General features: G+C 53.2%; 1 protein-coding gene across 4 annotated transcripts in view, besides 62 other annotated features; it reads left to right on the top strand.

Annotated features, from left to right (window-relative positions):
• Positions 719 to 1027: a mobile genetic element, noted in NCBI's record as "direction; reverse".
• Positions 792 to 813: a non allelic homologous recombination region, noted in NCBI's record as "proximal ADA NAHR recombination breakpoint sub-region, recombines with the distal ADA NAHR recombination breakpoint sub-region within the distal ADA Alu-mediated recombination region, resulting in a deletion". NCBI's record gives the evidence for it as "EXISTENCE:nucleotide sequencing assay evidence [ECO:0000219][PMID:3366897, PMID:1696926]".
• Positions 1537 to 2520: an enhancer, noted in NCBI's record as "H3K27ac-H3K4me1 hESC enhancer chr20:43280129-43281112 (GRCh37/hg19 assembly coordinates)". NCBI's record gives its function as "activates a minimal SCP1, AML or CMV promoter by ChIP-STARR-seq in naive H9 embryonic stem cells {active_cell/tissue: H9 hESC(naive)}" and the evidence as "EXISTENCE:reporter gene assay evidence [ECO:0000049][PMID:30033119]".
• Positions 1537 to 25004: a biological region, named in NCBI's record as "adenosine deaminase intronic regulatory elements". NCBI's record gives its function as "regulatory_interactions: ADA".
• Positions 2111 to 2500: a silencer, noted in NCBI's record as "silent region_12944". NCBI's record gives its function as "represses an Ori minimal core promoter by ATAC-STARR-seq in GM12878 lymphoblastoid cells {active_cell/tissue: GM12878}" and the evidence as "EXISTENCE:reporter gene assay evidence [ECO:0000049][PMID:35858748]".
• ADA (adenosine deaminase) overlaps positions 2309 to 25764 on the top strand; it is a 32178-nt gene continuing 8722 nt past the window's right edge. For all 4 annotated transcript variants that reach the window (NR_136160.2, NM_001322050.2, NM_001322051.2 and 1 more), the window contains exons 1-3: positions 2309 to 2433; positions 17720 to 17781; positions 24839 to 24961. Coding sequence is in view for 2 of the 4 variants with exons in the window: in NM_001322051.2 (NP_001308980.1) it covers positions 2401 to 2433; positions 17720 to 17781; positions 24839 to 24961 (218 nt within the window). In the remaining 2 variants the exon portion in view is untranslated. The remainder of the gene's footprint in view (positions 2434 to 17719; positions 17782 to 24838; positions 24962 to 25764) is intronic.
• Positions 2441 to 15383: a locus control region, noted in NCBI's record as "12.8 kb BssHII intron 1 fragment". NCBI's record gives its function as "high-level expression of ADA in thymus" and the evidence as "EXISTENCE:transgenic organism evidence [ECO:0001131][PMID:2606352]".
• Positions 2751 to 2860: an enhancer, noted in NCBI's record as "active region_17938". NCBI's record gives its function as "activates an Ori minimal core promoter by ATAC-STARR-seq in GM12878 lymphoblastoid cells {active_cell/tissue: GM12878}" and the evidence as "EXISTENCE:reporter gene assay evidence [ECO:0000049][PMID:35858748]".
• Positions 3974 to 4277: a mobile genetic element, noted in NCBI's record as "direction; reverse".
• Positions 4048 to 4069: a non allelic homologous recombination region, noted in NCBI's record as "proximal ADA NAHR recombination breakpoint sub-region, recombines with the distal ADA NAHR recombination breakpoint sub-region within the distal ADA Alu-mediated recombination region, resulting in a deletion". NCBI's record gives the evidence for it as "EXISTENCE:nucleotide sequencing assay evidence [ECO:0000219][PMID:3366897, PMID:1696926]".
• Positions 5450 to 5950: an enhancer, noted in NCBI's record as "H3K4me1 hESC enhancer chr20:43276699-43277199 (GRCh37/hg19 assembly coordinates)". NCBI's record gives its function as "activates a minimal SCP1, AML or CMV promoter by ChIP-STARR-seq in naive H9 embryonic stem cells {active_cell/tissue: H9 hESC(naive)}" and the evidence as "EXISTENCE:reporter gene assay evidence [ECO:0000049][PMID:30033119]".
• Positions 5973 to 6141: a silencer, noted in NCBI's record as "fragment chr20:43276508-43276676 (GRCh37/hg19 assembly coordinates)". NCBI's record gives its function as "represses an EF-1alpha promoter that drives an FKBP-Casp9 reporter gene in an ReSE screen in phorbol 12-myristate 13-acetate-treated (for megakaryocytic differentiation) K562 erythroleukemia cells {active_cell/tissue: K562(+PMA)}" and the evidence as "EXISTENCE:reporter gene assay evidence [ECO:0000049][PMID:32094911]".
• Positions 6318 to 6717: a DNaseI hypersensitive site, noted in NCBI's record as "HS I; the nucleotide coordinates are approximate for this feature". NCBI's record gives the evidence for it as "EXISTENCE:in vivo cleavage assay evidence [ECO:0001075][PMID:2606352]".
• Positions 6699 to 7294: a transcriptional cis regulatory region, noted in NCBI's record as "591 bp EcoRI-SphI 5' facilitator fragment". NCBI's record gives its function as "facilitation of T cell-specific enhancer activity" and the evidence as "EXISTENCE:transgenic organism evidence [ECO:0001131][PMID:7823928]".
• Positions 6699 to 8952: a locus control region, noted in NCBI's record as "2.3 kb SphI LCR fragment". NCBI's record gives its function as "high-level expression of ADA in thymus" and the evidence as "EXISTENCE:transgenic organism evidence [ECO:0001131][PMID:7565722, PMID:9016677, PMID:7823928]".
• Positions 6703 to 7956: an enhancer, noted in NCBI's record as "1.3 kb thymic enhancer fragment; includes HS II and HS III". NCBI's record gives its function as "enhancer of ADA expression in thymus" and the evidence as "EXISTENCE:reporter gene assay evidence [ECO:0000049][PMID:1508212, PMID:2606352, PMID:1781406]".
• Positions 6718 to 7117: a DNaseI hypersensitive site, noted in NCBI's record as "HS II; the nucleotide coordinates are approximate for this feature". NCBI's record gives the evidence for it as "EXISTENCE:in vivo cleavage assay evidence [ECO:0001075][PMID:2606352]".
• Positions 7319 to 7918: a DNaseI hypersensitive site, noted in NCBI's record as "HS III; the nucleotide coordinates are approximate for this feature". NCBI's record gives the evidence for it as "EXISTENCE:in vivo cleavage assay evidence [ECO:0001075][PMID:2606352]".
• Positions 7339 to 7854: an enhancer, noted in NCBI's record as "H3K27ac-H3K4me1 hESC enhancer chr20:43274795-43275310 (GRCh37/hg19 assembly coordinates)". NCBI's record gives its function as "activates a minimal SCP1, AML or CMV promoter by ChIP-STARR-seq in primed H9 embryonic stem cells {active_cell/tissue: H9 hESC(primed)}" and the evidence as "EXISTENCE:reporter gene assay evidence [ECO:0000049][PMID:30033119]".
• Positions 7676 to 7694: a protein binding site, noted in NCBI's record as "ADA-NF1-binding site". NCBI's record gives the evidence for it as "EXISTENCE:protein binding evidence [ECO:0000024][PMID:1508212]".
• Positions 7678 to 7705: a transcriptional cis regulatory region, noted in NCBI's record as "28 bp critical core". NCBI's record gives its function as "necessary for ADA thymic enhancer activity" and the evidence as "EXISTENCE:reporter gene assay evidence [ECO:0000049][PMID:1508212]".
• Positions 7681 to 7689: a protein binding site, noted in NCBI's record as "c-Myb-binding site". NCBI's record gives its function as "necessary for LCR and enhancer activity" and the evidence as "EXISTENCE:protein binding evidence [ECO:0000024][PMID:7565722]".
• Positions 7689 to 7701: a protein binding site, noted in NCBI's record as "ADA-NF2-binding site". NCBI's record gives the evidence for it as "EXISTENCE:protein binding evidence [ECO:0000024][PMID:1508212]".
• Positions 7700 to 7712: a protein binding site, noted in NCBI's record as "TCF-1alpha- or LEF-1/TCF-1-binding site". NCBI's record gives its function as "necessary for position-independent transgene expression in thymus" and the evidence as "EXISTENCE:protein binding evidence [ECO:0000024][PMID:1508212, PMID:9016677]".
• Positions 7745 to 7771: a protein binding site, noted in NCBI's record as "PU-binding site". NCBI's record gives the evidence for it as "EXISTENCE:protein binding evidence [ECO:0000024][PMID:1508212]".
• Positions 7788 to 7887: an enhancer, noted in NCBI's record as "active region_17937". NCBI's record gives its function as "activates an Ori minimal core promoter by ATAC-STARR-seq in GM12878 lymphoblastoid cells {active_cell/tissue: GM12878}" and the evidence as "EXISTENCE:reporter gene assay evidence [ECO:0000049][PMID:35858748]".
• Positions 8018 to 8097: a silencer, noted in NCBI's record as "silent region_12943". NCBI's record gives its function as "represses an Ori minimal core promoter by ATAC-STARR-seq in GM12878 lymphoblastoid cells {active_cell/tissue: GM12878}" and the evidence as "EXISTENCE:reporter gene assay evidence [ECO:0000049][PMID:35858748]".
• Positions 8394 to 8952: a transcriptional cis regulatory region, noted in NCBI's record as "559 bp SphI-TthIII 3' facilitator fragment". NCBI's record gives its function as "facilitation of T cell-specific enhancer activity" and the evidence as "EXISTENCE:transgenic organism evidence [ECO:0001131][PMID:7823928]".
• Positions 8892 to 9491: a DNaseI hypersensitive site, noted in NCBI's record as "HS IV; the nucleotide coordinates are approximate for this feature". NCBI's record gives the evidence for it as "EXISTENCE:in vivo cleavage assay evidence [ECO:0001075][PMID:2606352]".
• Positions 9108 to 9187: an enhancer, noted in NCBI's record as "active region_17936". NCBI's record gives its function as "activates an Ori minimal core promoter by ATAC-STARR-seq in GM12878 lymphoblastoid cells {active_cell/tissue: GM12878}" and the evidence as "EXISTENCE:reporter gene assay evidence [ECO:0000049][PMID:35858748]".
• Positions 9861 to 10450: an enhancer, noted in NCBI's record as "H3K27ac-H3K4me1 hESC enhancer chr20:43272199-43272788 (GRCh37/hg19 assembly coordinates)". NCBI's record gives its function as "activates a minimal SCP1, AML or CMV promoter by ChIP-STARR-seq in primed H9 embryonic stem cells {active_cell/tissue: H9 hESC(primed)}" and the evidence as "EXISTENCE:reporter gene assay evidence [ECO:0000049][PMID:30033119]".
• Positions 10451 to 11041: an enhancer, noted in NCBI's record as "H3K27ac-H3K4me1 hESC enhancer chr20:43271608-43272198 (GRCh37/hg19 assembly coordinates)". NCBI's record gives its function as "activates a minimal SCP1, AML or CMV promoter by ChIP-STARR-seq in primed H9 embryonic stem cells {active_cell/tissue: H9 hESC(primed)}" and the evidence as "EXISTENCE:reporter gene assay evidence [ECO:0000049][PMID:30033119]".
• Positions 10516 to 11115: a DNaseI hypersensitive site, noted in NCBI's record as "HS V; the nucleotide coordinates are approximate for this feature". NCBI's record gives the evidence for it as "EXISTENCE:in vivo cleavage assay evidence [ECO:0001075][PMID:2606352]".
• Positions 10741 to 10920: an enhancer, noted in NCBI's record as "active region_17935". NCBI's record gives its function as "activates an Ori minimal core promoter by ATAC-STARR-seq in GM12878 lymphoblastoid cells {active_cell/tissue: GM12878}" and the evidence as "EXISTENCE:reporter gene assay evidence [ECO:0000049][PMID:35858748]".
• Positions 10931 to 11050: an enhancer, noted in NCBI's record as "active region_17934". NCBI's record gives its function as "activates an Ori minimal core promoter by ATAC-STARR-seq in GM12878 lymphoblastoid cells {active_cell/tissue: GM12878}" and the evidence as "EXISTENCE:reporter gene assay evidence [ECO:0000049][PMID:35858748]".
• Positions 11042 to 11631: an enhancer, noted in NCBI's record as "H3K27ac-H3K4me1 hESC enhancer chr20:43271018-43271607 (GRCh37/hg19 assembly coordinates)". NCBI's record gives its function as "activates a minimal SCP1, AML or CMV promoter by ChIP-STARR-seq in primed H9 embryonic stem cells {active_cell/tissue: H9 hESC(primed)}" and the evidence as "EXISTENCE:reporter gene assay evidence [ECO:0000049][PMID:30033119]".
• Positions 11708 to 12307: a DNaseI hypersensitive site, noted in NCBI's record as "HS VI; the nucleotide coordinates are approximate for this feature". NCBI's record gives the evidence for it as "EXISTENCE:in vivo cleavage assay evidence [ECO:0001075][PMID:2606352]".
• Positions 12007 to 25004: an enhancer, noted in NCBI's record as "fragment c". NCBI's record gives its function as "enhancer of ADA expression in duodenum" and the evidence as "EXISTENCE:transgenic organism evidence [ECO:0001131][PMID:9334245, PMID:11053006]".
• Positions 12007 to 25004: a DNaseI hypersensitive site, noted in NCBI's record as "duodenal hypersensitive region containing HS-A, HS-B, HS-C, HS-D, HS-E, HS-F and HS-G; the nucleotide coordinates are approximate for this feature". NCBI's record gives the evidence for it as "EXISTENCE:in vivo cleavage assay evidence [ECO:0001075][PMID:9334245]".
• Positions 17334 to 20750: an enhancer, noted in NCBI's record as "fragment g". NCBI's record gives its function as "enhancer of ADA expression in duodenum" and the evidence as "EXISTENCE:transgenic organism evidence [ECO:0001131][PMID:9334245, PMID:11053006]".
• Positions 19263 to 19412: a DNaseI hypersensitive site, noted in NCBI's record as "HS-C; the nucleotide coordinates are approximate for this feature". NCBI's record gives the evidence for it as "COORDINATES:manual assertion [ECO:0000218][PMID:16950765]" and "EXISTENCE:in vivo cleavage assay evidence [ECO:0001075][PMID:9334245]".
• Positions 19263 to 19412: a transcriptional cis regulatory region, noted in NCBI's record as "HS-C temporal element". NCBI's record gives its function as "controls duodenal enhancer activation timing" and the evidence as "EXISTENCE:transgenic organism evidence [ECO:0001131][PMID:16950765]".
• Positions 19274 to 19294: a protein binding site, noted in NCBI's record as "YY1 site 1". NCBI's record gives the evidence for it as "EXISTENCE:protein binding evidence [ECO:0000024][PMID:16950765]".
• Positions 19323 to 19343: a protein binding site, noted in NCBI's record as "OC site 2; binds OC-1/HNF-6 or OC-2, but not OC-3". NCBI's record gives its function as "enhancer activation timing in developing postnatal intestine" and the evidence as "EXISTENCE:protein binding evidence [ECO:0000024][PMID:16950765]".
• Positions 19323 to 19343: a protein binding site, noted in NCBI's record as "YY1 site 2". NCBI's record gives the evidence for it as "EXISTENCE:protein binding evidence [ECO:0000024][PMID:16950765]".
• Positions 19374 to 19393: a protein binding site, noted in NCBI's record as "NFI site 3". NCBI's record gives the evidence for it as "EXISTENCE:protein binding evidence [ECO:0000024][PMID:16950765]".
• Positions 19530 to 19859: an enhancer, noted in NCBI's record as "0.3 kb core duodenal enhancer region". NCBI's record gives its function as "enhancer of ADA expression in duodenum" and the evidence as "EXISTENCE:transgenic organism evidence [ECO:0001131][PMID:11278481]".
• Positions 19536 to 19557: a protein binding site, noted in NCBI's record as "G1 GATA-4-binding site". NCBI's record gives its function as "required for high-level duodenal enhancer activation" and the evidence as "EXISTENCE:protein binding evidence [ECO:0000024][PMID:12571085]".
• Positions 19564 to 19869: a DNaseI hypersensitive site, noted in NCBI's record as "HS-D; the nucleotide coordinates are approximate for this feature". NCBI's record gives the evidence for it as "COORDINATES:manual assertion [ECO:0000218][PMID:11053006]" and "EXISTENCE:in vivo cleavage assay evidence [ECO:0001075][PMID:9334245]".
• Positions 19604 to 19628: a protein binding site, noted in NCBI's record as "C1 Cdx-binding site". NCBI's record gives its function as "developmental timing of duodenal enhancer activation" and the evidence as "EXISTENCE:protein binding evidence [ECO:0000024][PMID:15677472]".
• Positions 19638 to 19658: a protein binding site, noted in NCBI's record as "FP 2a PDX-1-binding site". NCBI's record gives its function as "required for duodenal enhancer activity" and the evidence as "EXISTENCE:protein binding evidence [ECO:0000024][PMID:11278481]".
• Positions 19651 to 19674: a protein binding site, noted in NCBI's record as "C2/Y1 Cdx-binding site". NCBI's record gives its function as "developmental timing of duodenal enhancer activation" and the evidence as "EXISTENCE:protein binding evidence [ECO:0000024][PMID:15677472]".
• Positions 19651 to 19674: a protein binding site, noted in NCBI's record as "C2/Y1 YY1-binding site". NCBI's record gives its function as "developmental timing of duodenal enhancer activation" and the evidence as "EXISTENCE:protein binding evidence [ECO:0000024][PMID:15677472]".
• Positions 19669 to 19688: a protein binding site, noted in NCBI's record as "G2 GATA-4-binding site". NCBI's record gives its function as "required for high-level duodenal enhancer activation" and the evidence as "EXISTENCE:protein binding evidence [ECO:0000024][PMID:12571085]".
• Positions 19669 to 19688: a protein binding site, noted in NCBI's record as "FP 2c PDX-1-binding site". NCBI's record gives its function as "required for duodenal enhancer activity" and the evidence as "EXISTENCE:protein binding evidence [ECO:0000024][PMID:11278481]".
• Positions 19683 to 19704: a protein binding site, noted in NCBI's record as "FP 2d PDX-1-binding site". NCBI's record gives its function as "required for duodenal enhancer activity" and the evidence as "EXISTENCE:protein binding evidence [ECO:0000024][PMID:11278481]".
• Positions 19715 to 19753: a protein binding site, noted in NCBI's record as "G3 GATA-4-binding site". NCBI's record gives its function as "required for high-level duodenal enhancer activation" and the evidence as "EXISTENCE:protein binding evidence [ECO:0000024][PMID:12571085]".
• Positions 19743 to 19781: a protein binding site, noted in NCBI's record as "Y2/NFI YY1-binding site". NCBI's record gives its function as "developmental timing of duodenal enhancer activation" and the evidence as "EXISTENCE:protein binding evidence [ECO:0000024][PMID:15677472]".
• Positions 19743 to 19781: a protein binding site, noted in NCBI's record as "Y2/NFI NFI-binding site". NCBI's record gives the evidence for it as "EXISTENCE:protein binding evidence [ECO:0000024][PMID:15677472]".
• Positions 19780 to 19805: a protein binding site, noted in NCBI's record as "FP 4 PDX-1-binding site". NCBI's record gives its function as "required for duodenal enhancer activity" and the evidence as "EXISTENCE:protein binding evidence [ECO:0000024][PMID:11278481]".
• Positions 19830 to 19859: a protein binding site, noted in NCBI's record as "FP 5 PDX-1-binding site". NCBI's record gives its function as "required for duodenal enhancer activity" and the evidence as "EXISTENCE:protein binding evidence [ECO:0000024][PMID:11278481]".
• Positions 23267 to 24016: an enhancer, noted in NCBI's record as "NANOG-H3K4me1 hESC enhancer chr20:43258633-43259382 (GRCh37/hg19 assembly coordinates)". NCBI's record gives its function as "activates a minimal SCP1, AML or CMV promoter by ChIP-STARR-seq in naive H9 embryonic stem cells {active_cell/tissue: H9 hESC(naive)}" and the evidence as "EXISTENCE:reporter gene assay evidence [ECO:0000049][PMID:30033119]".
• Positions 24017 to 24767: an enhancer, noted in NCBI's record as "H3K4me1 hESC enhancer chr20:43257882-43258632 (GRCh37/hg19 assembly coordinates)". NCBI's record gives its function as "activates a minimal SCP1, AML or CMV promoter by ChIP-STARR-seq in naive H9 embryonic stem cells {active_cell/tissue: H9 hESC(naive)}" and the evidence as "EXISTENCE:reporter gene assay evidence [ECO:0000049][PMID:30033119]".

The raw sequence follows: 25764 nt of genomic DNA, 5'->3' as shown, positions 1-25764 counted from the left end.
CTGGGATTACAGGCATGAACCACTGCGCCCAGGCTCGGGTATGTCTTCATCAGTAGCATGAAAATAATGGACTAATACAGCCACCCTCTCCCTCACTCCCACATACAACCAAACCCCAAATCCAGCTGATTTTACACCCTAAATGCAGCTTGAATATGAGTTTCTCCACTTCCCCCACTGACATCACTATGCCCTACCCAGACCATGGCAGTTGCCTCCTTCCTGGTATCCTGTCCTCCCTCACCCCCGCTGGCCCCCTGTAATGCCCTCCCCTCACAGCAGGGAGCCCAGGCTTCTCAAAGTGCCCTGTGGGTGCGAACCACCTGGGGGTCCTGTTTGTATAAAATACAGATTCTACTTCAGTAGGTCTGGGATGGGGTCTGAAAGTCTGCATTTGTAGTCAGCTCCCAGGTGATGTGGGTGCTGATGATCCCTGGATCACACTTTCAGTAGCTGGAGAATATTTTTTCCAAATAAAAGGGTGATTTTGTCTCGCCTCCACTTAAAACACTCCACTGACTTCCTAGGAATCCCACACCATCGCTGGGTCCCACATCCCTGGCAGGATTCAGCTCCCATCAGACCTTCTAGCCCCTTGCTCTCCACTCTCCCACTCTCTCTTTCCCCCTTGTTTATGGGTTTGTTAATTTATTTATGATGAAATGAAATGAAGCTACCATCCACCCCAGTACTGGAACATTATCAATAACCTGTGTGTGGCCAGGCGTGGTGGCTCATGCCTGTAATCACGCCTTGGGAAGCCGAGGTGGGTGGATCATGTGAGGTCAGGTGTTCGAGACCAGCCTGGCCAACATGGTGAAACCCCGTCTCTACTACAAATCCAAAACTTAGCAGGGCACGGTGCCACGCGCCTGTAATCCCAGCTACTCGGGACGCTGAGGCCGAGAACTGCTTAAAATCCAGGAGGTGGAGGTTGCAGTGAGCCGAGATTTCGCCACTGCACTCCAGCCTGGGCGACAGAGCAAGAGTCCATCTCAAAAAAACAAAAACAAAAACAAAAAAACAAAAAACAAAAATTAGCCAGGCGTGGTTGTGGGCGCCTATAATCCCAGCTACTCGGGAGGCTGAGACAGGAAAATCGCTTGAAACGCTGGGGGTGCGGGGGAGCGGTGGGGAGGAGGCGGGCCAGAGGGGCAGAGGTTGCAGTGAGCCCAGATCGCGCCACTTCACTGCAGCCTCCGCGAAAGAGCGAAACTCCGTCTCAGTAAATAAATAAATAAATAAATAAATAAATAAATAAATAAATAAATAACCTGTACCCGCGTGTTATTTCCCTCCGTCCTTACCTCCTCCCGGCTCCTTCCCTTTCACCTGAGATAACCACTCTTCTCGTATCTATGCTCATCTTTCCCTTGCTTTACATTTTTTCCACCGATGCATGTGTCTAAACATACATACTTTTGGTTTTGCTTTTACACATTCTAAAAGTTGCACCATTGTATGCAGTTTTCCGCAACTTAGTTTTTTTCACTCAACATTGTTTCTGAGACATTGTTTCTGTTGTTGTCTGGCTGAAGTTCATTCCGTTTCACTGCTGTCTAACGTTTCATGGTGTGAATATTCCGGTTTATTTGCCCACTCGCCCGTGGAGGGGCATTTGAGGGTGTTTCCAATGTTCCTGTTATTCGGAATAGCGCTGGTGTGAACATTCTGCACAGGTCTCTGGCTGCGCCTGGGCGGGTTTCTTAAAGGTGAATGCCCAGGAGGGGACTGTCTGTGTTCTCCCTCCCTCCGAGCTCCAGCCTTCCTCGCCTCCTTTCACTCCCAGCTCCCTGGAGTCTCTCACGTAGAATGTCCTCTCCACCCCCACCCACCCCTGATGAACTCCTGCAGGTTCTGCAGGCCACGGCTGGCCCCCCTCGAAAGTTCCTTAACTATACAATTATGGTGTGTGTTTCTGCGACGAGCGTCCGTCTATCCGGTGGAAGGCACGCCGCTCGAGGCTTGCGATGCTCCCGGGGTCCCCGCTTCTAGCTTGGGCCTGGCGCACAGCAGCGCCCAGACTGCAGGGGGACGCTTGAAAGTTGCTGGAGGAGCCGGGGGGAAGGCAGCGCCCAGCGAGGCGGCTGGAGCGCGCGCCCACAGGTGGGTCCGGTCGGGCGCCGCGGGGCCGTAGTTTTCGGGTCGGCGGGCGAGGACGCCGGGTCCAGAATTCCAGGAAATGCGCGATCCAGGCCGGCGGGCGGGGCGGGGGCTCCGGCGAGAGGGCGGGCCCCGGGAACGGCGGCGGGCGGGGCGGGAGGCGGGGCCCGGCCCGTTAAGAAGAGCGTGGCCGGCCGCGGCCACCGCTGGCCCCAGGGAAAGCCGAGCGGCCACCGAGCCGGCAGAGACCCACCGAGCGGCGGCGGAGGGAGCAGCGCCGGGGCGCACGAGGGCACCATGGCCCAGACGCCCGCCTTCGACAAGCCCAAAGTGAGCGCGCGCGGGGGCTCCGGGGACGGGGGTCCGGCGCCTGGGCGGCCCGAGGGGCTTAGCGGGGCCCAGCCCGGGGCGTCCAAACCCTGGGAACGAACGGGGGCTCCTGCAGGCGAGTTCTTCCTTCGGCTTAGGCCGTGGCTTGCTTGCGGGCTAATCAGGGACAATGGGGCAGAGAAGGTCCAGAACCCGGAGGCCTCCAGAGTCTGCTTCTGCCCCTGACTTGACCCCTCTGGGTCTCAGTTTCGCTGTCTGTCAAGTGGGCATCCTAGCACCGCTGAGCGCTGTGTGGGCCTGGGCAGGGACTTGAGGTCTCTGAAGCTCAGCTGTATGATCAGGCCCGATGTCTACGCCGGATAGGCACCTAGTGCTGTGCCCGGCGCCTACTGAGTGCTCAGTGAATGGAAGCAGCTTTGTACGCCAGCGTTATGGTGGTGAGCGCCAAGGAGCTCAGGTTTGTGGATGCGCCCCGGGGAAGAACCGTGAGCCCTGCCAGAAAGGGGAGGGAGGGGAGCAGAGCACCCCCCTTCCCCCGCGCGGGAAGAACAGGAGCTAGGTAGGCCCTGGGTTTGGGGCCCTAGCAGGGTTCACTCGAGGCCAAGCCATGGCCACTGGCCCCAGGGGAGAATCCCCTTGTTTCTCCGCCCACCAGCTGTGGCGTCTTGGGACTGTTGGGGTCAGGGAGGGTCTGGACCCCCTTGGCCTGTCGCAGAGTCCGAGAGGAGGGGCCCAGGAGTCTGCCAAGCAGGGTGAGTCAGCCAGTAGGGTGTGAGAGTGGTTGGGGAAGGAGTCAGCTGCAGTCAGCCTCAACTTACCCTTCTAAGAAATAGGTGTGAGTGGCCCAGGAGGTTGGCTCACGCCTGTAATCCCAGCACTTTGTGAGGCTGAGGCGGGAGGATCATTTGAGTCCAGGAGTTTGAGACTAGCCTGGACAACAAAACTAGACCCCGTCTCTCCAAAAAATAAAAAAAGTTAGGGGAAGTGTGTGTGGTGGTGCACTCCCGTAGTCCCAGCTACTCAGGAGGCTGAGGCGGGAGGATCGCTTGAGCCCAGGAGGTTGAGGCTGCAGTGAGGTGTGATGGTGCCACTGCACTTCAGCCTGGGAGACAGAGCGAGACCCTGTCTCAAAAAAAAGAGAAGAAAAAGAAAAGAAAAGAAATAGGTGTGAATGATGATGACAGCTATCACAAAAGTGCCGGTGAGAATCCAGTGAGTGTGCATGTGTCAGTGAGGGAGACAGGCTGTGGAGAGCCCACCTACCTTCTGAGGAGGGTGAGGCCTGGCCCCCACTACTGATGCCCCCAGCCCAGGGAAAATGCTCAGCTACTCCCCGTCAGAAGCTGGAAGCACTGAGGTGCTGTACAAGCCCTCCTACCCCCACCCCTGCCTCCTTCACGTCTTACTGGAGCTGGGGCCCATGATTGGCGCCTCCCCTTTGCAGTCTTTTTATTAAATGCTCTGGGCTCCCTCTGCCCTTGGGCTGGGGACCCACTGTACCCTGATGTGAATCCTATGGCAATAGCAAAGCTCTTTGATTGGCGGGGTGCAGTGGCTCACGCCTATAATCCCAGCACTTTGGGAGGCAAAGGTGGGTGGATCATGAGGCCAGGAGTTCGAGACCAGCCTGGCCAACATGGCAAAACCCCATTTCTACTAAAAATATAAAAAATTAGCTGGGCATGGTGGCGGGCGCCTGTAGTCCCAGCTACGCAGAAGGCTGAGGCAGGAGAATGGCATAAACCCAGGAGGTGGAGCTTGCAGTGAGCCGAGATCTCGCCATTGCACTCCAGCCTGGGTGACAGAGTGAGACGCTGTCTCAAAAAAAAAAAAAAAAAAAAAAAGGCTCCTTGATTGCGAACATGTTGGGAGTTATGGAGAGAACAGCAGGGCCCACTTCTAGAGCACTTGTTGCAGACACCCATTGGATCCTTGCAGTTCTTCTGTAACAGCCCATCAAGGGAGGGGCTCATATTATTATCCCCATTTTTTGGCCTTGCTCAGTCCTCCCATCTGATTCAAGCTGGCAGATCATTTTCCCTATTGGGACCTCAGTGTCCACACCTGGAGGATGGAACATCAGCTGCTTATGTGGGTGTCCCGTGTCCTGAGTCCCAAGGCCACAAGGTGATGCTTGAGAGTGAAGGTAGAATGTTACCTGCCATGTGTTTGAGGCGTGACAAATCTTGTATGATTGTGAGGAGGAACTTGTGTGAGCTGGCAGGAGAAGTGGGAAGGAGTGTGAATCTCAGAGCCACTGTGACCAGAGCCAGCTCCCTGCCCTCTTGTGGGAGGGACAGATGACAGTTATAATTATTAGCATTACTAGCTGCAGCTAATGGAGTGTTGATGTTTCTGTGCCAGGCACCGTTCTAAACACATTATCTGCATTTTTTATTTAATCCAGGCACAGAGAGGTTAACTAGGCCCAAGATCACACAGCTAGGAAATGTCCAATCTGGGGTTTGAGTCCAAGGGAGGCTGGCTTCGAAATCCCATGCCTCTAACCATCTTTCCTAAACTACCTCTGCAGAAGCCTTTGGGGATAGAGGTGCCAGTGCCCCAGGTGCAAACCTCCTGAGACAGGAGCCTTTGCTGTGTCCTTCAGCTTCTCATACCTGCCACCAGCTGAGGCCTGGGACCTGGTCAGCTAGAAGAAAGCAGAGCAGGGCAGCGCTTTTCAAACTGCACTCAAGTGGCCTGACTTTTAATGTTCACACTGTGATTCTGTGTGGGTCGGGTTGGGGCCTGCGATGCTGCACTGCTGACCAGCTCCCAGGAAATGCTAATGTCAACGATCCAGGAACACACTTTGCTTAGCAAGGCCCTAGGCAGCTGCCTTCTGTTGTGCGGGACCCCTATTGACTCCAATGGATATAGCACCAGGTTCAAGAGGCTACCTTCTTTGGAAGAGGTAGCAAACAAGATACGGGGTTTTACTGGGGGCTTAGACACAGGGAAGAGAGTCCAGTGGCGGCAGACTGAGCAGAAGAACCGCAACCACTTGCAAATCATGCAGTTTATGTAGCATTTTCATTTAACACCTTCTCCCAACCATCTCCACCTAGTAACCTTCATTTAACCCAAAACAAAGGGCCTCGGTCCCTATACCCCTGTATGGTCAGTGTCCCGTGGGAATGGGGTGGGGCTCAGATGTTCCTCATAGATAACGACTGGATCTCCAGGTTGGCCACTCTTGGATTCCTTCGCTCAGAACTCTGAACACCCATTCAAGTGTGCCTGCCATGCAGGGTCATCGTCAGGGGATGCCCAAGTCAAGTTTGCCCTGTCGGGTGTGCCTCCCATACCCCCACCTGGTTTGACTTAGCACCTGCTGGGCACTGGAAGAAGTGGAAAGGGGGGTTGCAGGGGTGGCCCTTATCAGCCTATGTTCACAGGTGGCACCAGGCACTCAGGCATTCTGCATCCTGGAGGCCAGTGCTGATCACATGCCTGTTACAATAATCATAACAATAGCTGTCCTTGAAGTAGTCCTGGGTACCAGGTGCCTTCAGTGACTTTTTCTTTTTTGCCAGAATCTCACTCTGTCGCCCAAGCTGGAGTGCAGTGGCAAGATTTTGGGTCCCTGCAACCTCTGCCTCCTGGGTTCATGCGATCCTCCTGCCTCAGCCTCCCAAGTAGCTGGGACTACAGGCGTGTGCCGCAGTCTCACTCTGTTGCCCAGGCTGGAGTGCAGTGGTGTGATCCTGGCTCACTACAACCTCCACCTCCCGAGTTCAAGCCATTCTTCTGCCTCAGCCTCCGGAGTAGCTGGGATTACAGGCGTCCACCACCACGCCCGGCTAATTTTTGTATTTTTAGTAGAGACAGGGTTTCACCACGTTAGCCAGCTGGTCTCGAACTCCTGATCTCAGGTGATCCTCCCACCTTGGCTTCCCAAAGCGCTGGGATTACAGGTGTGAGCCACTGTGCCCGGCTAGTAACTTTTATCTCACGGAATCCTCTGGACGACTTGACAAGGCATGGGTCTTCATCCCCATTTACAGATGAAGAAACTGAAGCTTAGGGAGTGGAGGGACTTGCCAGGGCTACACAAAATCTGAGAGCCTTGAAGCTGTAGACTGGCAAGTGAACAGGTACAGGCTGGGACAGCAGTTTCTTTCTTTTTTTCTTTTTTTAGACAGAGTTTCGCTCTTGTTGCCCAGGCTGGAGTGCAATGGCACGACCTCGGCTCACTGCAACCTTCGCCTCCCAGGTTCAAGTGATTCTTCTGCCTCAGCCTCCCAAGTAGCTGGAATTACAGGCATGCACCACCATGCCCGGCTAATTTTTTGTATTTTTAGTAGAGACGGGGTTTCTCCTTGTTGGCCAGGCTGGTCTCGAACTCCCGACTTCAGGTGATCCGCCCACCTCAGCCTCCCAAAGTGCCGGGATTACAGGCATGAGCCACCGCACCCGGCCAAGGGACAGCAGTTTCTAAACTGTCCCTCTCTGATGCAGAGGGGAATTGGGGCTAAATCAGCAATGTGCCTTTTCTGTCTCATATTTGAATGTCTACTCTGCACGAGGCGCTGTCCTGCTTTGCATACAGTGACTCATTTAATGTTTATGTCAGCCCTCTGAGGAAGGTCCTGTCCTATTATTAACTTCACTTATTATGAGGAAACTGAGACTCAGAGAGGGGAGGGAACTTGCCAAAGTCACACAGCTGGCAAGCAGCAGAGCTAGACTTGAACCCAGATCTGCCTGCACTCAAGTAGAAGCTGTTCATTGCTTTGCTCATTTGCCAATTCCACTTTATGCAAAAAAGAGGGGGCAGTGTGGGGGGAAGAGTTAGAATCAGGGTGGCAGGGTGGGCCAGTGCATTAGCCCTGGGCTTCAGATGTACTGGGGTTGAATTCCTGCCTGCCGCTTAGCAGCTAGGGTACCTCAGGTAGACAACTCCTGAAACTCAGCTTCCCCCTCTGTAAAATGGGGTGACAAAACCAAGATCTTGGGGTTCTTGGGGAAACTGACATGCTGATTGGTTTTTGTACAGTGCCTGGCTGGTAACAGCAGGCCCTCAGGGGTGCGTTTCCTTCCTGGGGACTGGAGTGGGGGTTGCAGTAGACTCTGGGAGGCCTCTCCAGCTGCAGAATCTCCCTCCTCCCTCCTCCTTTTTGTCTTCCTGACACAAAACCCACCAGCTGCACTTCTTTGGGCTTGCAGTGGCTTTCAGTTACCAGAGCCACCTGTTAAAACAAAAATGTGCCTAGGAAGAGCCTGCCTTACCCATTTTGACTCACATGGCAGTTGGTGGTGGAGGGGAACAAAGGAGACTGAGTTTCATCGAAGCCTTTTGCTTCGGAGGAGGAAGGGAGGATCAGAGAGAGGAAGTGGTCTGTGTTCACACAGGGAGGCAGGGGAGGCCAGGCAGCTTCCCAATCCTGCATTCAACCTCAGGGTGGGCTTGACCTGGGTGGCTGGGGGCCCTGTGATCCAGGAGAGACTTGTCCACCTGCTCAGGTGTCTTGAAGGGGTCCCTGTGGTACCCCCTGGGGCGGGGCAAGGTAGTAGGACCATGGTCTGGCTGGGGAGGTGGAGAGGAGCAGGCTGTGGGCGCAGAGTGAGGTTGGAATCTGTATTTACCCAAGGTGTTGGGGGTAGGCTTGCCCTCAGCCCTTAATGTTCTCAGGCCCCTGAGCAGTTGTGGGGGATAACCTCTGCACTCCTAGTGACCAGGGAGCTAGAACAGCAAGGAATTTGAACTTGGACACCAGCTGGGGTCAGGCTCTCTGGGTCTGAGTCCTGATTTCCCACTTTCCAGCTAGAGGAGCTTGAATGAGTCATTTAACTTCACGGTGCCTCAGTTTCCCCTCTCTAAAATGAGAATTATACCCATACCCACCTCTCAAACACCAAGTGCAGGCCTGGCTCAGAGCAGGTGCTGCAGCAATAGCTGCCATTGGTCAGCATCATCATCATGGTTGGTAATGGTCCTACTTTGACTTTTGAGACAGAGTCTCACTCTGTCGCCCAGGCTGGAGTGCAGTGGTGCAATCTCGGCTCACTACAACCTCTGCCTCCCGGGTTCAAGTGATTCTTCTGCCTCAGTCTCCCAAGTAGTTGGGATTACAGGTGTGCGCCACCATGCCTGGCTAATTTTTGTGTTTTTAGTAGAGACAGGGTTTCACCATGTTGGCCATAACAATGGCTGTCCTTGAAGTAGTCCTGGGTACCAGGTGACTTCAGTGACTTTTTTTTTTTTTTTTTTTTTGAGCTGGAGTCTTCCTCTGTCACCCAAGCTGGAGTGCAGTGGCACGATTTTGGCTCACTGCAACCTCTGCCTCCTGGGTTCATGCGATCCTCCTGCCTCAGCCTCCCAAGTAGCTGGGACTTGGGATACACTTGCCCCCGCTGGTCCTCCCTTCCACCTCTGTGAAGAGGAGGTCTCAAACTCCTGGCCTCAAGTGATCCACCCACCTCAGCCTCCCAAAGTGCTGGGATTTCAAGAGTGAGCCACCGCACCTGGCCCCTGTTTAGATGTTAGCATCAGTGACCCAGCACCTTGCTATGTGGCATGCAGGGAGCGTGCTGCTAGACCTCCGGGTTTAGAGTCAAATAGCTTCCTGGCTGTGGTATGCATTAGACTTTCTAACTCAAGGTCCTCCCACTCTCTGAGCCTCAGTCTTGTTGCCTTTAAAACGAGTTTAAGTGTGCTGAGTCCCTATGCTGTGGCTCCACAGGAATTTCCCCAGGTGGAAGACACATCTTGCCTTCTGTGAAACCTCTCAGCAGCAGAGCTGTCAGGCCCCGTCAGCAGGAGACACTGTGGGGACTGCTCAGTCCCTTCCACTGTGTACCTCGGAGCTGGCGGAGCCTAGATGAGGCTGAGCATAGAGGGCTTCCTGGAGGAAGTGGAGCTGAAACAGTTTCTCAGCCCAGGGCTGCTCTGTCTCCTGGCCTCACACTAAAAGTCAGTTGAGAGGCCATAGTGGCATAAGTCACTGACCCTGGCACTGCCCAGCTCATCACCAAAAGCAGGGCTAGGGAGGGAGGGGACATTCGATTGGCAGTGGGCACCTGTGGCTCATCTGGGTTCTGGCCACGGTGCTCAGGTTCTGTGAGCTGACCAGGCAGCCCTGGCTCCTCTGCCCCCGTGTGGGTTCTGCCAGGTCCCATGGGGGCAGGTCAGCCCCTTCCTTGTTGCAGGGAGAGCACCCAGCATTGCTGACATGGGACAGGGAAACGAGGAAATAACGGTGTGGTCATTGAACACAGAGAGCACTAGGTGCTGTGCGAGGTGCTGAGGACACGACATGATGACACAGACAAGGTCCCCCCTCTCAGCAAACGGCTCATGAGGGAGACAGACATGTTACATACATGAACCCAAAAAGTCAGACGAAAACAAAACAGAGCGATGTGTTTGGGAGGCAAACCCAACTGCCGGAGGCGAGCAGGGCGTCTACCTCCAAGGTAAACCCAGTCAGATTAGTTGTCCCCAAGGCTCACCAGGGAGAACTAATCTGACTAGGTTTGCCTTGGAGGTAGACGGCCCTGCTCGCCCTCCAGCAGTTGGGAACGTGGAAACATGAGTCAGATCTGGGAGTATCTGTCCCAGGAGTCCAAGACCTGGGTCCTCATGGTAGCTCTGCCACCGACACACTGAGTGACCTTGGGTAAGTGAACCCACCGCCCTGGACCTCTCTGGCACGCATCTCTTGAGAGCAGGGACTTAGTGCATTTCCCGAGGGCCTCCACGGTGCCTGGCACATAGTGGGGCTTAGTAAATATTTGTTGGTAACTGAGGATGCTTCCTGTTCACATCAGCGCTGGGAGGATTTCCTGCTGTTCAGACAAATGCTGGGCTGGCTGTGAGTCAGCCTTGCAGAGAGCAAAGGCAGTGGGAAGGGGCGTGAGATTCCCCTCTGGAGAGGTCAGGAGGCCAGGCACTGTCTCGACATGAGTGCCAGGGAGGGGGTGTGGCCTGTGGGCAGGGCTTGGGCTGAGGCAGAGGGACTTGAGTTCCACCCTAGCTCTACCACCATCAATTTTGTGTAACTCTGGACAGGCCACTGAACTTCTCCGGGCTTAGCCTGGCAAGTCCATTTCCCCATCTGTAACATGGGCCGATATGTACATTGCCTAGGGATTAAATGAGATAAAGGGTCTGAAAACAGTAGGTAGCTGCTTTATCATTATTATTATTTCTGTATTATTGATGTCTGAGGCTAGGCCCACAGAGGCAGTACAGTAGAGTGGTTAGGAGCTCAAGAATCAGACTAGGGTTCAAATTCTGACTCCATCACTGACTGTTTTGGGGTACTTCTTTGAACCTCAGTTTCTTCATCAGTAAAATGGGAGTGAAGTCTCTACCTTGCTGGTTGTAAGGATGAAATAAGATAATGCATATAGATGGTCTAGCACATAGTAGATACTCAAAAGTTTGAGGCCACTGCTGACCCTTTTCCCTGAAAGGAGACAGGAGAGCGGGGTCGCCACCCCATTGTCATTGTCATCTGGAATAGGCTGACAGACTTCCCATGGTGTGTTGCAGTTTTCTAGAAAATTCAGTAGGAGGCCTGCCTGAGCTTGAGCCACCTGTGGAGGTGGCTTCCTGCCTCTGCTCCACACCTGAAACGCGTCTGGGCCTCTTCTCAGGCAGCCGTGAGAAGGGATGAGTGCTACTGGTCATGGTGGGCAGCTGGCTCTGCTTTCCCCCTTCCCAGAGGCGCTCCTGCCTCCTGCCCAGCTCCCTGAACCCCTAGCTTCTGCACCCCGGCACTGTCTGGCTTCTGCCCCGCTGAGCACCCACTGTCTCTGACGCTGCCTTGAGTACTTCCCGCATGTTATTCAAATCCCAATCAGATCTTCCCTCCCGCAGTAGCTGGTCTTCTGTTCTGGCTTCCTGCCATCCTGTCCTCCACACAGCAGCCGGGAAAGGTTTTTTTAAAGGGGACTCTCCGATTTAACACACTTGGGTGGAAAACCCTTTGCTTCGGCCTCTGCAATCTCCCTGCCCCCTCTCCACTTTGCCCTGGCCTCATTTCTCACCACTAACCTCACTCTGCACTCTGGCCAACTCCCCGCCTGCTTCCTGATTCAGACACTAAGCACACGCAGCTCCCCTGCCTGGAGCCATTCTCCCTCTCCTTCTTTCTTCTCCCTGGCGAACTCCCCCTTTAAGTGATCTTTTCCCAACACACTTTCTAAATTGCCCCCACCCCAGTGTGATTTTTCTTTATCTCATAGCACTTGGTCTGCTTCTTATCACAGTTTGCAAGGCTGAGTTCAGAAAGGTGTGTTTGCTCATTCTGAGGCAGGAGAGGCTACCTTGTGCTGCTGTGGTAACAAACAGCCCCCAGGTCTGAGGGGTCTGCAGAGACCCAGGTTGACCTCATACTGCTTGTCCCTCCAGGGCCTCCAGTGAGGTTTCGGCTCCTTGGATCACTCAGGGCCCCAGGCAGATGGGAAGATTCCACTCTGAACATTGCCAATTGTTGTGCCAGAGTAAAGCAGAGCTGGGAGGTGGGCTCTTGAATTGGCATTTAAATACTTTTGCCAGGCAGGGTAAGGCAGCTCACGCCTGTAATCATAACACTTTGGGAGGCCTAGGTGGGTGGATCACCTGAGGTCAGGAGTTCAAAACCAGCCTGGCCAACATGGTGAAACCCTGTCTCTACTAAAAGTACAAAAATTAGCCGGGCATGGTGGTGGGCGCCTGTAATCCCAGCTACTTGGGAGGCTGAGGCACGAGAATCCCTTGAACCTGGGAGGCAGAGGCTGCAATGAGCTGAGATCTTGCCACTGCACTCCAGCCTGGGCAACAGAGCCAGACTCCATCTCAAAAAAAAAAAAACAACAACAACAAATAAATAAATGAATAAATACTTTAGCCAGAAGTAGCCATGCAGACCTCCCCCCACCAGTCCCACCCACAAGCGGACGTGACTACCGCCCCCATTCACTGCCTGATCCTCCTGTTCTCAGGGGCTCCAAGGCCAGGCCTGGTTTGACCTTCTGACTTTCTGACTTCCTCCTACCTTCCCAGTAACCTCATGCAACTCCTTTCACTCAGCCTCAATCATCCCCATGGGTGTTTAAACTTGCCCAAGACATGCCCCTTTGAAAAAGCCTGCCATTCTCTTGACCCACATGCACGTCCTGCCCCCTCCAAGGCTGCTAGTTCCTTTAGGGGCAAAATTGTGAAAGAGTAGTCTAAACCTTCTTCCTCTTCTTACCTCCACTTCTTTCTTACCTTATTCCCATGTGGATTCTACCCTCACTCAGGCCTCTAGAACGGTTCCTCTACGGCAGTGGTTCCCAATCTTGACTACGTGTTTTTTTAAAAAAAGTCCTCCACCTGGGCCTGCCACCAAGGATTTTTCTTTAATTGACCTCAGATGGGGTTGAGGCCTTGGGAACTGGCCAGAACTTCCCGTGCTCCTAACTTGCAGCCGGGGTTAAGAACTACTCCTCTGAAGCCCCCAGTGCCTGCGCTTTTAGCCCGACGGACAAGTTTCTGCCCTTCCATCCTGTGACCTCCAGCAGGGCCTGACCATGTGAGTTTTCTGTGGCTGCCGTGACAAGTTGCCACACCCTGCATGGCTTCAACCAACAGAAACGTGTGCCCTGGCAGTTCTGGGGGCCAGAAGTCCAACATCAAGATATCATCAGAGCCACATGCCCACTGAAGGCTCTCGGGGGAATCCATTCCTTGCCTCTTCTGGTTGCTGGTGGCTCTAGGCATTCCTTGGCTTGTGGCTGCATCATTCCAGTCTCTGCCTCTGAGGTCACGTTGCTGCTTCCTCTTGTGTGTGTTTCTCTTAAAACTCTCTGCTTCTGTCTTATAAGGATACATGTGATTGCATCTAGGGCCCAACCAGATAATCCAGGATAAACTCTTCCTGTCAAGACATTTAATAATCACACTTTGCCATATAAGGTAATTTTTTTTTTTTTTTTGAGGTGGAGTTTTGCACTTTCACCCAGGCTGGAGTAAAGTGATTTAATCTCGGCTCACTGGAATCTCTGCCCCCAGGTTCAAGCAATTCTCCTGCCTCAGCCTCCTGAGTAGCTGGGATTATAGGTACCTGCCACCATGCCCAGCTAACTTTTGTATTTTTAGTAGACATGGGGTTTCACCATGTTGGCCAGGCTGGTCTCGAACTCCTGACCTCAGGTGATCCACCCGCCATAAGTTAATATTTTTTTTTTGAGAGGGAGTATTGCTCTGTTGCCCAGGCTGGAGTGCTAGTGGCTCAATCTCGGCTCACTGCAACCTCCGCCTCCCAGGTTCAAATGATTCTCCTACCTCAGTCTCCTGAGTAGCTGGGACTACAGGTGCATGCCACCATGCCTGGCTGATTTTTGTATTTTTAATAGAGAGGGGATTTCACCATGTTGGCCAGGCTGGTGTTGAACTCCTAACCTCAAGTGATCCACCCACCTCAGCCTCCCAAAGTGTTGGGATTACAGGCATGAACCACCACGCCCGACCCATATAAGGTAATATTTACAGGTTCTGGGGATTAGGATTAGCATGTAGACAGCTTTGTGGGGGCCACCATTCAGCCCACTATGCTAACCCTGTGAACCGTTGCTCGCTTCTCCTTGACATCTGACGGCCTGGCCTTCTGCATACCACACACCCTCCCACCTCTCTGGCCACAGTTCTGTAGGCTCAGCCTCCTCCGTAAGGCCATTAAGTGCTTGTGCTGGTCAAAGTTTCATCCTAGGCCTTTTCCTTACCTCCCTTGATATTTTCTCCCTAGGTGAGCTCCTTCAAGCCCACAGCTTCTGTGCTTACCCACACTCCTACCTACATTCCCAGCTTGGGCTTCTCAGGCCAGCTCTAGACTCTTGTATCCCACTGGGTTCTTCCACTTACCTTTGGATATCTCAAAGGCATCTCCAGTTGGCTGGGCACGATGGTTCACACCTGTAACCCCAGCACTTTGGGAGGCCGAGGTGGGCAGATCACTTGAGGTCAGGAGTTCAAGACCAGCCTGGCCAATATGGTGAAACCCCATCTCTACTAAAAATACAAAAATTAGCTGGGCATGGTGGTGGGTGCCTGTAGTCCCAACTACTCGGGAGGCTGAGGCAGGAGAATCGCTTGAACCCGGGAGGTGGAGGTTTCCGTGAGCTGAGCTGGAGCCACTGCACTCCAGCCTGGGCAACAGAGTGAAACTCCGTCTTAAAAAAACAAAAAACAAAAGGTGTCTCTAGTGTAACATAACTAAAACCAAACCAATCATGCCTCCCTCCCCCGCATCCTCCCTCCTGGAGGGAGCTCCAGGACTTGGTCTTCTCTTCCAGAGTTCTCTGTCTCAAACTGCGGGAATTGCTCCCCACCCAGGCCTAACCTGAAGTGTGAGCCTTGGCATCTCTTTCTATCCACCTGTTTTTCCTCTATGCACCTCACAACCCTGGTCCAAGCCACCGTCATCTTTCAAATGGCTGCAGTAGCCTCTAACTGGCCTTGGAGGAGCCATCCTCTTTCTCTAACCAGCTGCCAACCCTGCAATGGCCTCTGTGTGCTTTCCAGATAAAGCCTGACTCCTCGTGGCCCGCACAGCCCTGCCTGGGTGGTCCTATCCTGCAGCCTCTCCAGTACCATGAACCCTCCCTTCTCTGAACCTCTATTTAATCCATTTCATATACCCCGTTTTCTCCTGCCATAGGGCCTTGCACATGCTGTTCCTTCTGCCTGGAATTTTCTTCCTGCCTCCCTCCGCACCCCTGCCTTGTGTTGTGGGTTCCTCGCTATCCTCTAGCTTTTCGCTCAGGCTCATTGTTGGCCCTCTAGATGTATTCACTTCTCTTGTTTGTTACCCTCTGTCATAGGACTGTGTTCGTACTTCCCAAGGAGTCGTCTTGGTTTGTGACTGTACATTTTCCCATGTGACATTTGCTTAATGCCTCTCCCACTCTGGGGCCTGTACAAGCCCCAGGAACAGGACTTGGACCCTCCTGTTTAACTCTACAATCTAGCATCCAGCAGGAGCGCAGGCCTTCGTTGACTTTTATTTTATTCTTATTTTTTATTTTTGAGATGCAGTTTCGCTCTTGTCGCCCAGGCTGGAGTGCAGTGGCGTAATCTCGGCTCACTGCAGCCTCTGCCTCCCAGGTTCAGGTGATTCTCCTGTCTCAGCCTCCCAAGTAGCTGGGATTACAGGTGTGCGCCACCACGCCTGGCTAATTTTTTGCATTTTTAGTAGAGATGGGGTTTCACCATGTTGGCCAGGCTGGTCTCAAACTCCTGGCCTCAGGTGATCCACCCACCTCGGCCTCCCAAAGTGGCTGGATTACAGGCGTGAGCCCCCATGCCCAGCCTTCATTGACTTTTAGTTGACAACTATTTAGCATTTGCTATGTGCCAAGAACTCCCTGCCTACTAATGCAGTTAACCCTCATGAAGCCTAGAAGGAAGGACTGCCATTCTCCCCACTTAACAGATGAGGATGCCGAGGCACAGGAAGTGAAGTGACTTTCTCAGGGTCAAGCAGGGAGTGAGTGGAGGAGCCGAGATTCCAGCTCTAACCGCATGATGCTCTATACAGTGTGACTCCGGCTCTCTGGCTGGGCCCTCTCCATAGCCCTGTGAGGGTTAAGGATAGAAAACAGAGGCTCAGAGAGTTGAGGTCCCTTGCCTGAGGTCACACAGCTGGTTGGCCGTTCCCTGGGCTATAAGCTTCAGTATTCCCAATGCTGAGCATATTTTGAGAACCCGAGAAACAGACGTTTGGCTGGGTGGGAACTGAACTCATTTTGTCAGGGAATTCAACAACTAAGTTGGCCCTGAGACTGGGTGTGAAGACCGCTCTGTCCCCTGCCAGCTGGATGACCTCAGGAGAGATCTGATGACTCTGAGGTCCTGCTGATAGGACCTCTGGTGTCTCTGTTCCCTGCTGGCCTCCCCTGGGCCTGGGTTGGGTTTCCTCTGCAGGAGGCAGCTCATGTATGTGCTCCTAGACGCCCTTGGGCCAGCAGCTCCTTGGCTGTTCCTCCCTGAGCCAGGGCAGCCAACTTTCTTATCCAGCTCTCCATGCTCCCCACCCCAGCATGAGATGTCAGCTGAGAGTTTTCTGGATCTCCCCTAGCTAGGGGGAAAGCTTCCATCATTTGGAACAGGAACAGCAGGAACAGCAAAGTCCCTTTCCCCACCATCTCCCACTGCCTGCTGTGCTTCTCCTAACAGCTCATGGTAAACACCCTGACTGAGCGGCAGGGGCTGTTTCCTTTGGGCTATCCATGTCCACCTACACTGCCCTTTTTAATCCTTACAATTTTTCTTGGACACGGGGGCATAATATTCCATTGTTTTTCAGTTGAGGAAACTGAGGCTCAGAGAGGTCAAGTGTCTTGTCTGAGGTCACACAGCAGAACTGGGAGTCAAGCCAGATGGGCTGCCTCCAAGGATCCTACTCTTAAACTCTAGAGTACTAGAAAGATCTTCCGTTGCCTAATATTGATTCCTGATAGGCTATGCTTGAGTAGCATCTGCTTTTGAAAATGGAGCCTGGGTCGGTTGCGGTGGCACATACCTGTAATCCCAGCACTTTGGGAGGCTGAGGTGGGTGGACACCTGAGGTCAGGAGTTCGAGACTAGCCTGAGCAACATGGTGAAACCCTGTCTCTACTAAAAATACAAAAATTAACTGGGCGTGGTGGCACCTGCCTATAGTCCCAGCTACTCCGGAGGCTGAGGCACAAGAATTGCTTGAACCCAGGAGGTGGAGGTTGCAGTGAGAGGAGATCATGTCACTGCACTCCAGCCTGGGAGACAGAGCGAGACTCCATCCGTCTCAAAAAAAAGAAAACGAAAATGGATCCTGAATTTTGAAATATGCTGTGACTCTTCCCTAGTTTGGGACATCTGGGTCAATCCCTTTTGTTAAAGTAGTTTATTTAGTTGGCTGAGAGCGGGAGCTGCCTACGTGACCTGGAGCACAAGCTTTGGAATTGGGCTTGGGTTAGAATTCCGCCTCTGCCACTCACCAGCTGCGATTAAGAACAAAGATACTGGGTTGGGCTCCTGCCTCTATTACTTGCAATCTGTGTGGCCTTGGATGAGATATTTAACACCTCCGAACCTCAGTGTCCTCAATTGTGAAAGAGATCGAGATAACAGCTGAACCCACATCCCAGGAGCGGATTAAATGAGATAGTGCAGTACAGAGTTTACCGAAGTATATGGGGTCAGCAGCCAGCCAGTAAAATGGTGGCTAATGGTTATCATGATTAATGTTAACATTAAGCTCTGAAAGGTCCTTCGTGAACTCATAGGTATTTGTTCTCTCTCTCCCTTTCTCTCTCTCTTCCCCCTGCCCCCTTGCAGGTGGAACTGCATGTCCACCTAGACGGATCCATCAAGCCTGAAACCATCTTATACTATGGCAGGTAAGTCCATACAGAAGAGCCCTCTCTCCCTGGGATTTGAGTGGGGTCCCCAGCTCCACCCAGAGGCCCCTGGGGAATTCCAGGGTCACTGTTCCTTCCTGTCTCCCTGTGGGAATCAAGCCAGCTCCAGGCCAGAAGTGGGACTGTGAGGACATGGAGGCCTCAGCACTGAGCTGGAGACCCGCAGACCAACTCCTGAGCTTTCTGGGCCTCTGAGTCTTGTCCTCCTGGTGTCAGGTGAGCCAGGCCTGAGCCTGCTCTCCCCACCCACCCACATACGTGCATGAAGGTAGTTCCCAGGGCTGAATCCGTCTTTTTTTTTTTCTTTTGAGATAGAGTCTTGCTCTGTCGCCCAGGCTGGAGTGCAGTGGCATGATCTCGGCTCACTGCAACCTCCACCTCCTGGGTTCAAGTGATTCTCCTGCCTCAGCCTCCTGAGTAGCTGGGATTACAAGCACATGCCACCACATCCAGCTAATTTTTGTATTTTTAGCGGAGATGGGGTTTCACATGTTGGCCAGGCTGGTCTCGAACTCCTGACCTCAAGTGATCCACCCAGCTTGGCCTCCCACAGTGCTGGGATTACAGGCATGAGCCACTGTGCCTGGCTCCTGTCTTTTGACTTAACTGAGAGCCTATATATAGCAGGTGATGTGCTCACATGAGATGCCAGTACAATTTCTTGAGCATCTCCTAGAGCTGGGCTGGGCTTTATCAGCTCATTGAATTCCTCCACGCTTGGAAGAGGAGGATACGCTCTCTGCATTTTACTGAGGAGGGAATGGGCTCAGCCAAGACAGTTGTCCACGGTCACACAAATTAATAGCAGATCAAGAGTTGAACCCAAGGCTGTCTGACCCCTAAGGCTTTACTACATCATCAGGGTCATAACCTGCTAGGAGTCACGGAAAAGTGGCTCCCCAACTCTGGGCCTAAATCTCTGCATCTTCCAAGTGAGAACACACTTCCTGCCTCAGCTCTCAGAGATGCTAGGGGGCCAGAGGGTCCCCCTGTTCCCCAGCGAGGAAGGTTCTTCCCTTCCTACCCAGACCTCAAGGGCTCACAGCAGCTCCTCTCTTAGGACCAGCTTTTAAGGGCAGGGACTTTAAAGGCCAGTGGATCTGGATTCAAATTTGGACATATTATCTCCTGTCTGCGAACTTGGTCTCTATCAACTGAGGCTAAGAACAGGCCCTCCCTAGAGAGATGACCTAGGAGCTAGGGGCTCCTTGTCCACCCAGCCCTGCCCCCGCAGACCTGTGTTCCTCGGATGTTTGCACAACACTCATTTTGTTTGGAGCTGAAAGAACTCAGCCTCTCTGTCACAGTCTTGAAATTCAGCTCGGGACCCAAATTTGAACATTTCTGCTCCATAAGCCAGAATCCTGTTATTCAGAGGCCTGCCCTCATGGAGAGAATGAGGGATCCCGGGGGGTTGCCCCCAACTCTCGGGAGCATCTCCACCAACTCCCTGAGAGATTTCTGGTAAGTCCACTATTCTCCATCTTTTCGCACTTCCAGGGACCTTCTTCTGCCCCAGGAAGCTGCCATTGATTTAATTCCTATTTAACTGCAAGGCATAAGCACAGTAGCACCTCCTGTGTGCCAAACACTCCTTTAAGTGCGTTACCCGGGTTAAGTTATTGAAGCCTCACAACAATTTGTAAGATAGGAACTCTATTGCCGTCATTTACAGATGAGGAGACTGAGCCGTGGTAGGTGGAGTAAGGTGCCCAGTAAGCACAGGGCGGAGGTTTGAACCCAGATAGTCTGCCCCCGAGTCCATGGCCCTGGCCATTACCCCCTGTCAGTTAGAGGTTTTGGTAAGTGACGCCCGTAAAATGCTTAGTTCAGGGCCTAGCACACATTAATGTGCTCCATAAATGTCACTTAATGATAATATTCTTATTAATTGGAGCTTATATCTCTAAGTGGGGTGAAACCTCTTGGCTTATCTCTGCCTGGCCTTTGCCCATGTCAAGCCGCCAACTTGCCACAAGGCCCCTAATGAGGTCGTTCAGTGGGGCACCAAGATGAGATCGAACCCAGGCACTCATTAAGGGGTCACGGAGGGCTCATCAGCTGCAGCCAGGGGCTGGGAGCGCCGGGTGGGGCTAAGAGAAAGGGGAAAGGAGCCGCCGGGAGGGGCACTGGTCTGATCGTCCATTCCTCACACCACCTCTGGGCCTTGGAGATGGCGTGCGGCAGGTGCCAGCTGGAGCTTGGCCTGAAGTCAGCAGGCAGGGGACTGGGGAGTTTGTCACACTCAGATATGGGTGTCTGTAAATGCACACAAATATGGGCTAAGAATGGAAGGAGGAGGGGAGCCCCTGGCCTGAGCCCTGCTAGGCCCAATTCAGTGGCCCTTTTTCCAGCTCTGGGACTCAGGCCTGCCTCATTAACTGTCCTCACCCATTTCTCCTTCCTCCAGTTCCCAGGATTCTGGCCTTTTCAGGGGCCTCTCCAACCTCTTTCTCAGTCTTGTTTATAACCCTGTCAACTATTTCTACAGAGATTCTGAAACTGGCTGCTCTTTCCTCCGATCACTGCCCTGGTCTGGGCCACCACTGCCCCTCCCTGGTGCTGTGGCCTCCTGATTGGTCTCAGCCATCTACTCTGGCCTTCCTCTCTACGGGCCCTGCAGTGCTGTAGTTGGAGCAAGAGCCTTAACCCATGGTCTTCCCAGCTCATTCCCCAGCTTCCCCATCTCACTCAGAGTCAAAGCCAAAGTCCACACATGGGCCTTAAAGTTCTGCAAAGCCTGCATTGCCTCTCTGACCTCTCTAAGGCTCCTTGCTTAGTCCACACTGGATGTTTTTCAAACATGCCAGACCTAGGAAACAGAGAGTCTGGGTTACTTGCCCAAGGTCACACAGCCTTTAAGTCACAGAGCTGGGATTCAAACCCAGACCACTGGGCTTCAGAGTCTGCTCTTTCTCATGACACACAAAGTTTCATTTCTTCCTCTGTGCACCCCTACATGGAAAATATTATGTTTTACTGACAAGGGCACCAAGGGCCTTAGAGGGGAGCGCTCCTGCCTGGGATGATGTGGTAAATAGGGGTGGGAGATGGACTTGACCTGCAACCCCTGAGCTCATCCTCCCTCCCTCCCTGGGCTCCTGATGGTGGGCTTCTTGTGACTGTGTTGCCCACCAAGGCCGGAAGAGGACCAGACAGTGCCCCAGCACAGCAGCTGTGGCTGACCAGGGAGTAGGGATCATCTAAGAACAGAGCGTGCATGGTGGCTCACGCCTGTAATCCCAGCACTTTGGGAGGCCAAGGCGGGTGGATCACCTGAGGTCAGGAGTTCAAGACCAGCGTGGCCAACATGGGGAAACCCCGTGTCTACTAAACATATAAAAAATTAGCCAGGCATGGTGGTGGGCATCTATAATCCCAGCTACTTGAGAGGCTGAGGCAGGAGAATCACTTGAACCAGGGAGGTGAAGGTTGCAGTGAGTCGAGGTCGTGCCATTGCACTCCAGCCTGGGCAACAAGAGCAAGACTCCGTCTCAAAAAAACAAAACAAAAGAAAAAACAGAGGGTGGCCCTATGAGGAGCCTTCGCTTGTGTGGGTGGCCAGGGACAGCAAGAGGTGCCAGGGCCCTAGGAACAGCTCTTTCCTGCTTCAACTTTGGGCTCCAGATGGGCGCTTTCCAGCTCAGTCTGAGCAGCTTCGGGAAGCTGTGTCCCATGGGAGACACTGGGAGTCCCCTGTGCTCTTTGTCTCCTGTCGGGCCCCCACATTAGCTCTCTGGCCTCAGCTCTGGCTTCCCTCCAATTTGTTTCCCACGCAGCAGCCAGAGGAGCTTTCAAAAAGGTAAATTATTTCATGCTAGTCCCCTGCTTGAAATCCTACAGTGCCTTCCCAGTGCTTTCAGCCAAAGCCCCAGTCCCTTCCTAAGCCCAGCCTGGCCCTGCCTCCCTGGTGCATCATCTGCACAAATGCCTGCTCTCTGACCTCCAGCCACCCTGCACTTCCAATGCCCGCGGCTTCCTGCCTGCAGCTTTAGTACAGACCCCTCCCCTGCCCAGAACTGCCCCCACCCCAAGGCTTCTGCTGAAATGTCACCTCCTCAGAGAGGCCTTCCCTGGCTGCTCTGTCTAAACTCTGTGTTGAGAAGTTCCTTCTTGATGGTTGTTGAGGAGGGAGGCTGGAGAAGAAGAATCGAAGAGGAGAAATAGAAAGCAAAATAATTTGTTCTAGGGGACGGGCTGGTGCTGGGCACGGGGAGGCGCCCGTCTCTGGTGTGGGCAGCTGGGTAGATGGAGGAGCCGTATTTGGAAATGTGGAACCCAGGAAGGGAGTGATCTAGAGGGAGGGGAAAGGTGGCGCGAGATGCCTGCCTCTCAACAGGTAGCCAGACACATGGGTCTGTCTTGGTCACTGCTATCTGCCCAGTGCCCAGCACATCACAGGCCCTCAGTGGTGGTGTATGGGCATAGAGAATTAGAAGCTGTGGACCTCTGGATCCGGAGCTGAAAACCACCAAAGGAGATGAGTTGGCCTGGCCAGGTGTGTAAAAGGCAGAGTCTGAGAGAGAACGACCAGAGGGCAGAGCCCCCGCAGGTGGAGTTCTGGGGGCTGGAGGGAGACCATTAGGAGAATCGCACATGGCTGGCGCAGCAGGTCCCAGGCAAATGTGGCCACTGGGTTTGGCAATATGGGAGCCAGAGCCCTAGTGTCATCTCCCTGCCTTCTACCCAGCAGTTCCCAGAGTGATATCCCCAACAGTGTTTGACAACTGGTACAGGCTCTTCAGCGGCCACAGTTACTGGGCAAGGCCTTGTGAGGGTGACTTTGGGGCAGCTGGCCAGCAGTGGGAGGGGAAGCAGTCTCAGGGGTACCTGAGGCACTGAGCTCCGACCTCCAGGTGCCAATGCCGCACCAGGGCACCGTTCCCCTGCAGGCTCTTACAGGGATTAGGGGCTGGTAAGGAGCAGTGATTAGGGGCTGACTAGCAGGCTGGTGGGCACCAGCATGACCCCTTGGTGGTACCCTCTGGGCACTCATGGGGACTTGGGCTAACAGATGGGGAAGGGAGCACATTCAGGGGGCTTAGGAAACATATTTATGTAGGGAAGCATTTTAATATTTTAGTAACAGAAGCTATTAAAGGACTTACAAACTTACTTACATACACTAAAACACTATTTGGTCAAACTTCTGTTTCTTTGGCACTTTCCTCCTTTATTCTTTTTTATTTTTTTGAGACAGGGTCTTGCTCTGTCACCCAAGCTGGAGTGCAGTGGTGCAATCTTGGCCCGCAGTAGCCTTGACTTCCAGGCTCAGGTGGTCCTCCCACCTTAGCCTCCCAAGTAGCTGGGACTACAGGTGCACGCCACCACGCCTGGTGAATTTTTGTTTTGAAGGGGTTTCACTGTGTTGCCCAGGCTGGTTTCAAACTCCTGGGCTTAAGTGATCCGCCAGCCTTGGCTTCCCAAAGTACTGTGATTACAGGTATGAGCCACTGCACCCGGCCTCCTATTTTTCTGCTTCTGCTTTGTGGATAATTGGATGCTTGGACCTCCTGATTTAATCTTCTAATTTCCTTAACTGTTTACTCCTATTTTTCATCATCTTGTCTTTTTGTTCTACTTTGTGGAGGATTTCTTCACTTTTAGCTTCCAGTTCTTTTCTTACATCGTGACAGTTGCTGCCGCATTCTCTTGTAAATTTCCGAGGGCTCGTTCTTGGGTTCTGAATGTTCCCTCCTTTCAAGGATCTTCTCATCTCTTTGAGGATATTCATGTCTTTTTTGTTTTGGTTCTTAGGTTTTCATCTGTTCTCTGTGCTGTTTCCTCGGAGTGCTTTTGTCTATTCTGTTGTTTTGTCCCTCATGTTAGAAGCATTTCTTTTTTTTTTCTTTTTTTTTTTGTGATACAGAGTCTTGCTCTGTCACCAGGCTGGAGTGCAGTAGCATGATCTCGGCTCACCACAGCCTCTGACTCCCTGGTTCAAGTGATTCTCCTGCCTCAGCCTCCTGAGTAGCTGGGATTACAGGCACACACCACCACACCCAACTAATTTTTGTATTTTTGGTAGAGACGGGGTTTCACCATGTTGGCCAGGATAGTCTCAATCTCCTGACCTCATGATCCTCGCACCTTGGCCTGGGAGGCCAAAGTGCTGGGATTACAGGCGTGAGCCACCATGCCCAGCCTAGAAGCATTTCTTAATGTCTGGTGTTCTCTGGCTGTTGTATCTTAAAAAAAAAAGGGGGGGGAAACTGAGGCTCGAGGTGACCTTGTGAGCTGGAGCAGAGCCGGGATGGGATGAGGAGGCAGGAGCGTGTGCAGAAGAGAGGGAGCCCCCCTGAGCTCGCACCCTGCTTCCCGTGGCTGGGAGGGGAGGCCGAGATGCTTGGGGAGAAATGGAGGCTCCAAGCCAGAGGGGCTGTTTCCAGCACGCTCTTACTGAGCGCTGCTGTAGTCCAGCTTGGTGTGGCGGCTGTGGGCAGGGAGGGGAGAGAGGTCTGAGCTGGCTGGCGGCCCACTGGGCCCCTCCCCTGAGCCTCCACCGGCCCTCTCCCAGTGCGCTGGGCTGGGCAAGCCTCTGATGTGCCAGCCAGATGGAGGGTGAAGTCCTGATGCCTGCCCCTACCCTGGGAATTGTGATGCTGCAGTTACTGCCCCTGATAACCCCTGACTGGGCATAGGACCAGCTGGCTGAGCCAGCTCCTGGGGCTGAGGAGGAAGCCATGAACTTGACCTGGCACTTTCCTTGTCTCCAAGCATCAGTCAACCAAGGATATGGAGGGGGTGTGTGCATGTGTGCACACATACACACACACACACACACACACTTCAACCTGTTTATCCCCCTTGAGATTTGCTGACTTGTGCATTGGGGGTAGAAGGTGCTGGAAAAATTCCGGTCCTGGTTCTCAGTTTCCCCATCTGTCCAGTGGGAGCAGCTGGACTGAGAGACGCCCATGTCTCCTGCTGTGGTCCTGCAAGGAGGCTGGCGCTCCTGAGTCTGCTCCATCCTGGCCTGTCAGGCCTGCCTGGATCCTGCCCCGGGTTGGTCCACCACTCACTGTTTTGTTTCCAGGAGGAGAGGGATCGCCCTCCCAGCTAACACAGCAGAGGGGCTGCTGAACGTCATTGGCATGGACAAGCCGCTCACCCTTCCAGACTTCCTGGCCAAGTTTGACTACTACATGCCTGCTATCGCGTGAGTTGCCCCCAACCCACAGGTCCTAGGGCAGCATTGATCCCTATGACTAGGACCAGGCCTGTCCCTCAGCCTGTGGGGGCCAGAGAAGTTGCTCTGAAACCACAGCTGTCTTTCTCACCATTGTGTACACTTAGTGAGTCTCTCCAGTGCCTTTAGGCCTCAGTTTTCCCTTCTGAGATGTGGGTGTGATGGACTGAAATTGCTTCAAGTTCTACAGAGAAATGGCAGAATATGGGAGCTAAGAACACAGGGTCAGAGGCAGTGCAGGGCTTGAACCCGGGCCATCTATCTCCTAGTTCAGGGCTTCGTGTTGTGAGGGGAGGAGAGGCCTGAATATAGGGTGGGGGCGGGGAGATGTGGGGAAGATTCTCCAAAAGGCTTTTTCTTTTTCTTGTCTTGAGTCGCCAGGGAACAGCACTAGGTACCGAAAAGGCCCAGAAGGGGTATGGGCGAGTACTAGAGAGAAATTTCCATGACTGCTTTATTTATTTATTTATTTATTTATTTATTTATTTATTGAGACAGAGTCTCACTCTGTTGCCCAGGCTGAAGTGCAGTGGTGCGATCTCAGCTCACTGCAACCTCCACCTCCCAGTTTAAGGGATTCTCCTGCTTTAGCCTCCCAAGTAGCTGGGATCACAGGCACCCACCATCACACCCAACTAATGGTTTTGTATTTTTAGTAGAGATGGGGTTTTACTATGTTTGCCAGGCTGGTCTCGAATTCCTGACCTCAGGTGATCTGCCCGCCTCGGCCTCCCAAAATGCTGGGATTACAGGCGTGAGCCACTGCGCCTGGC

Source organism: Homo sapiens, chromosome 20, assembly GCF_000001405.40.
Source record: "Homo sapiens chromosome 20, GRCh38.p14 Primary Assembly".
Classification (NCBI taxonomy): Eukaryota; Metazoa; Chordata; class Mammalia; order Primates; family Hominidae; genus Homo; species Homo sapiens.
Note: the sequence above shows the minus strand (reverse complement) of the source record. Positions and strands in the feature narration are given on the sequence as shown.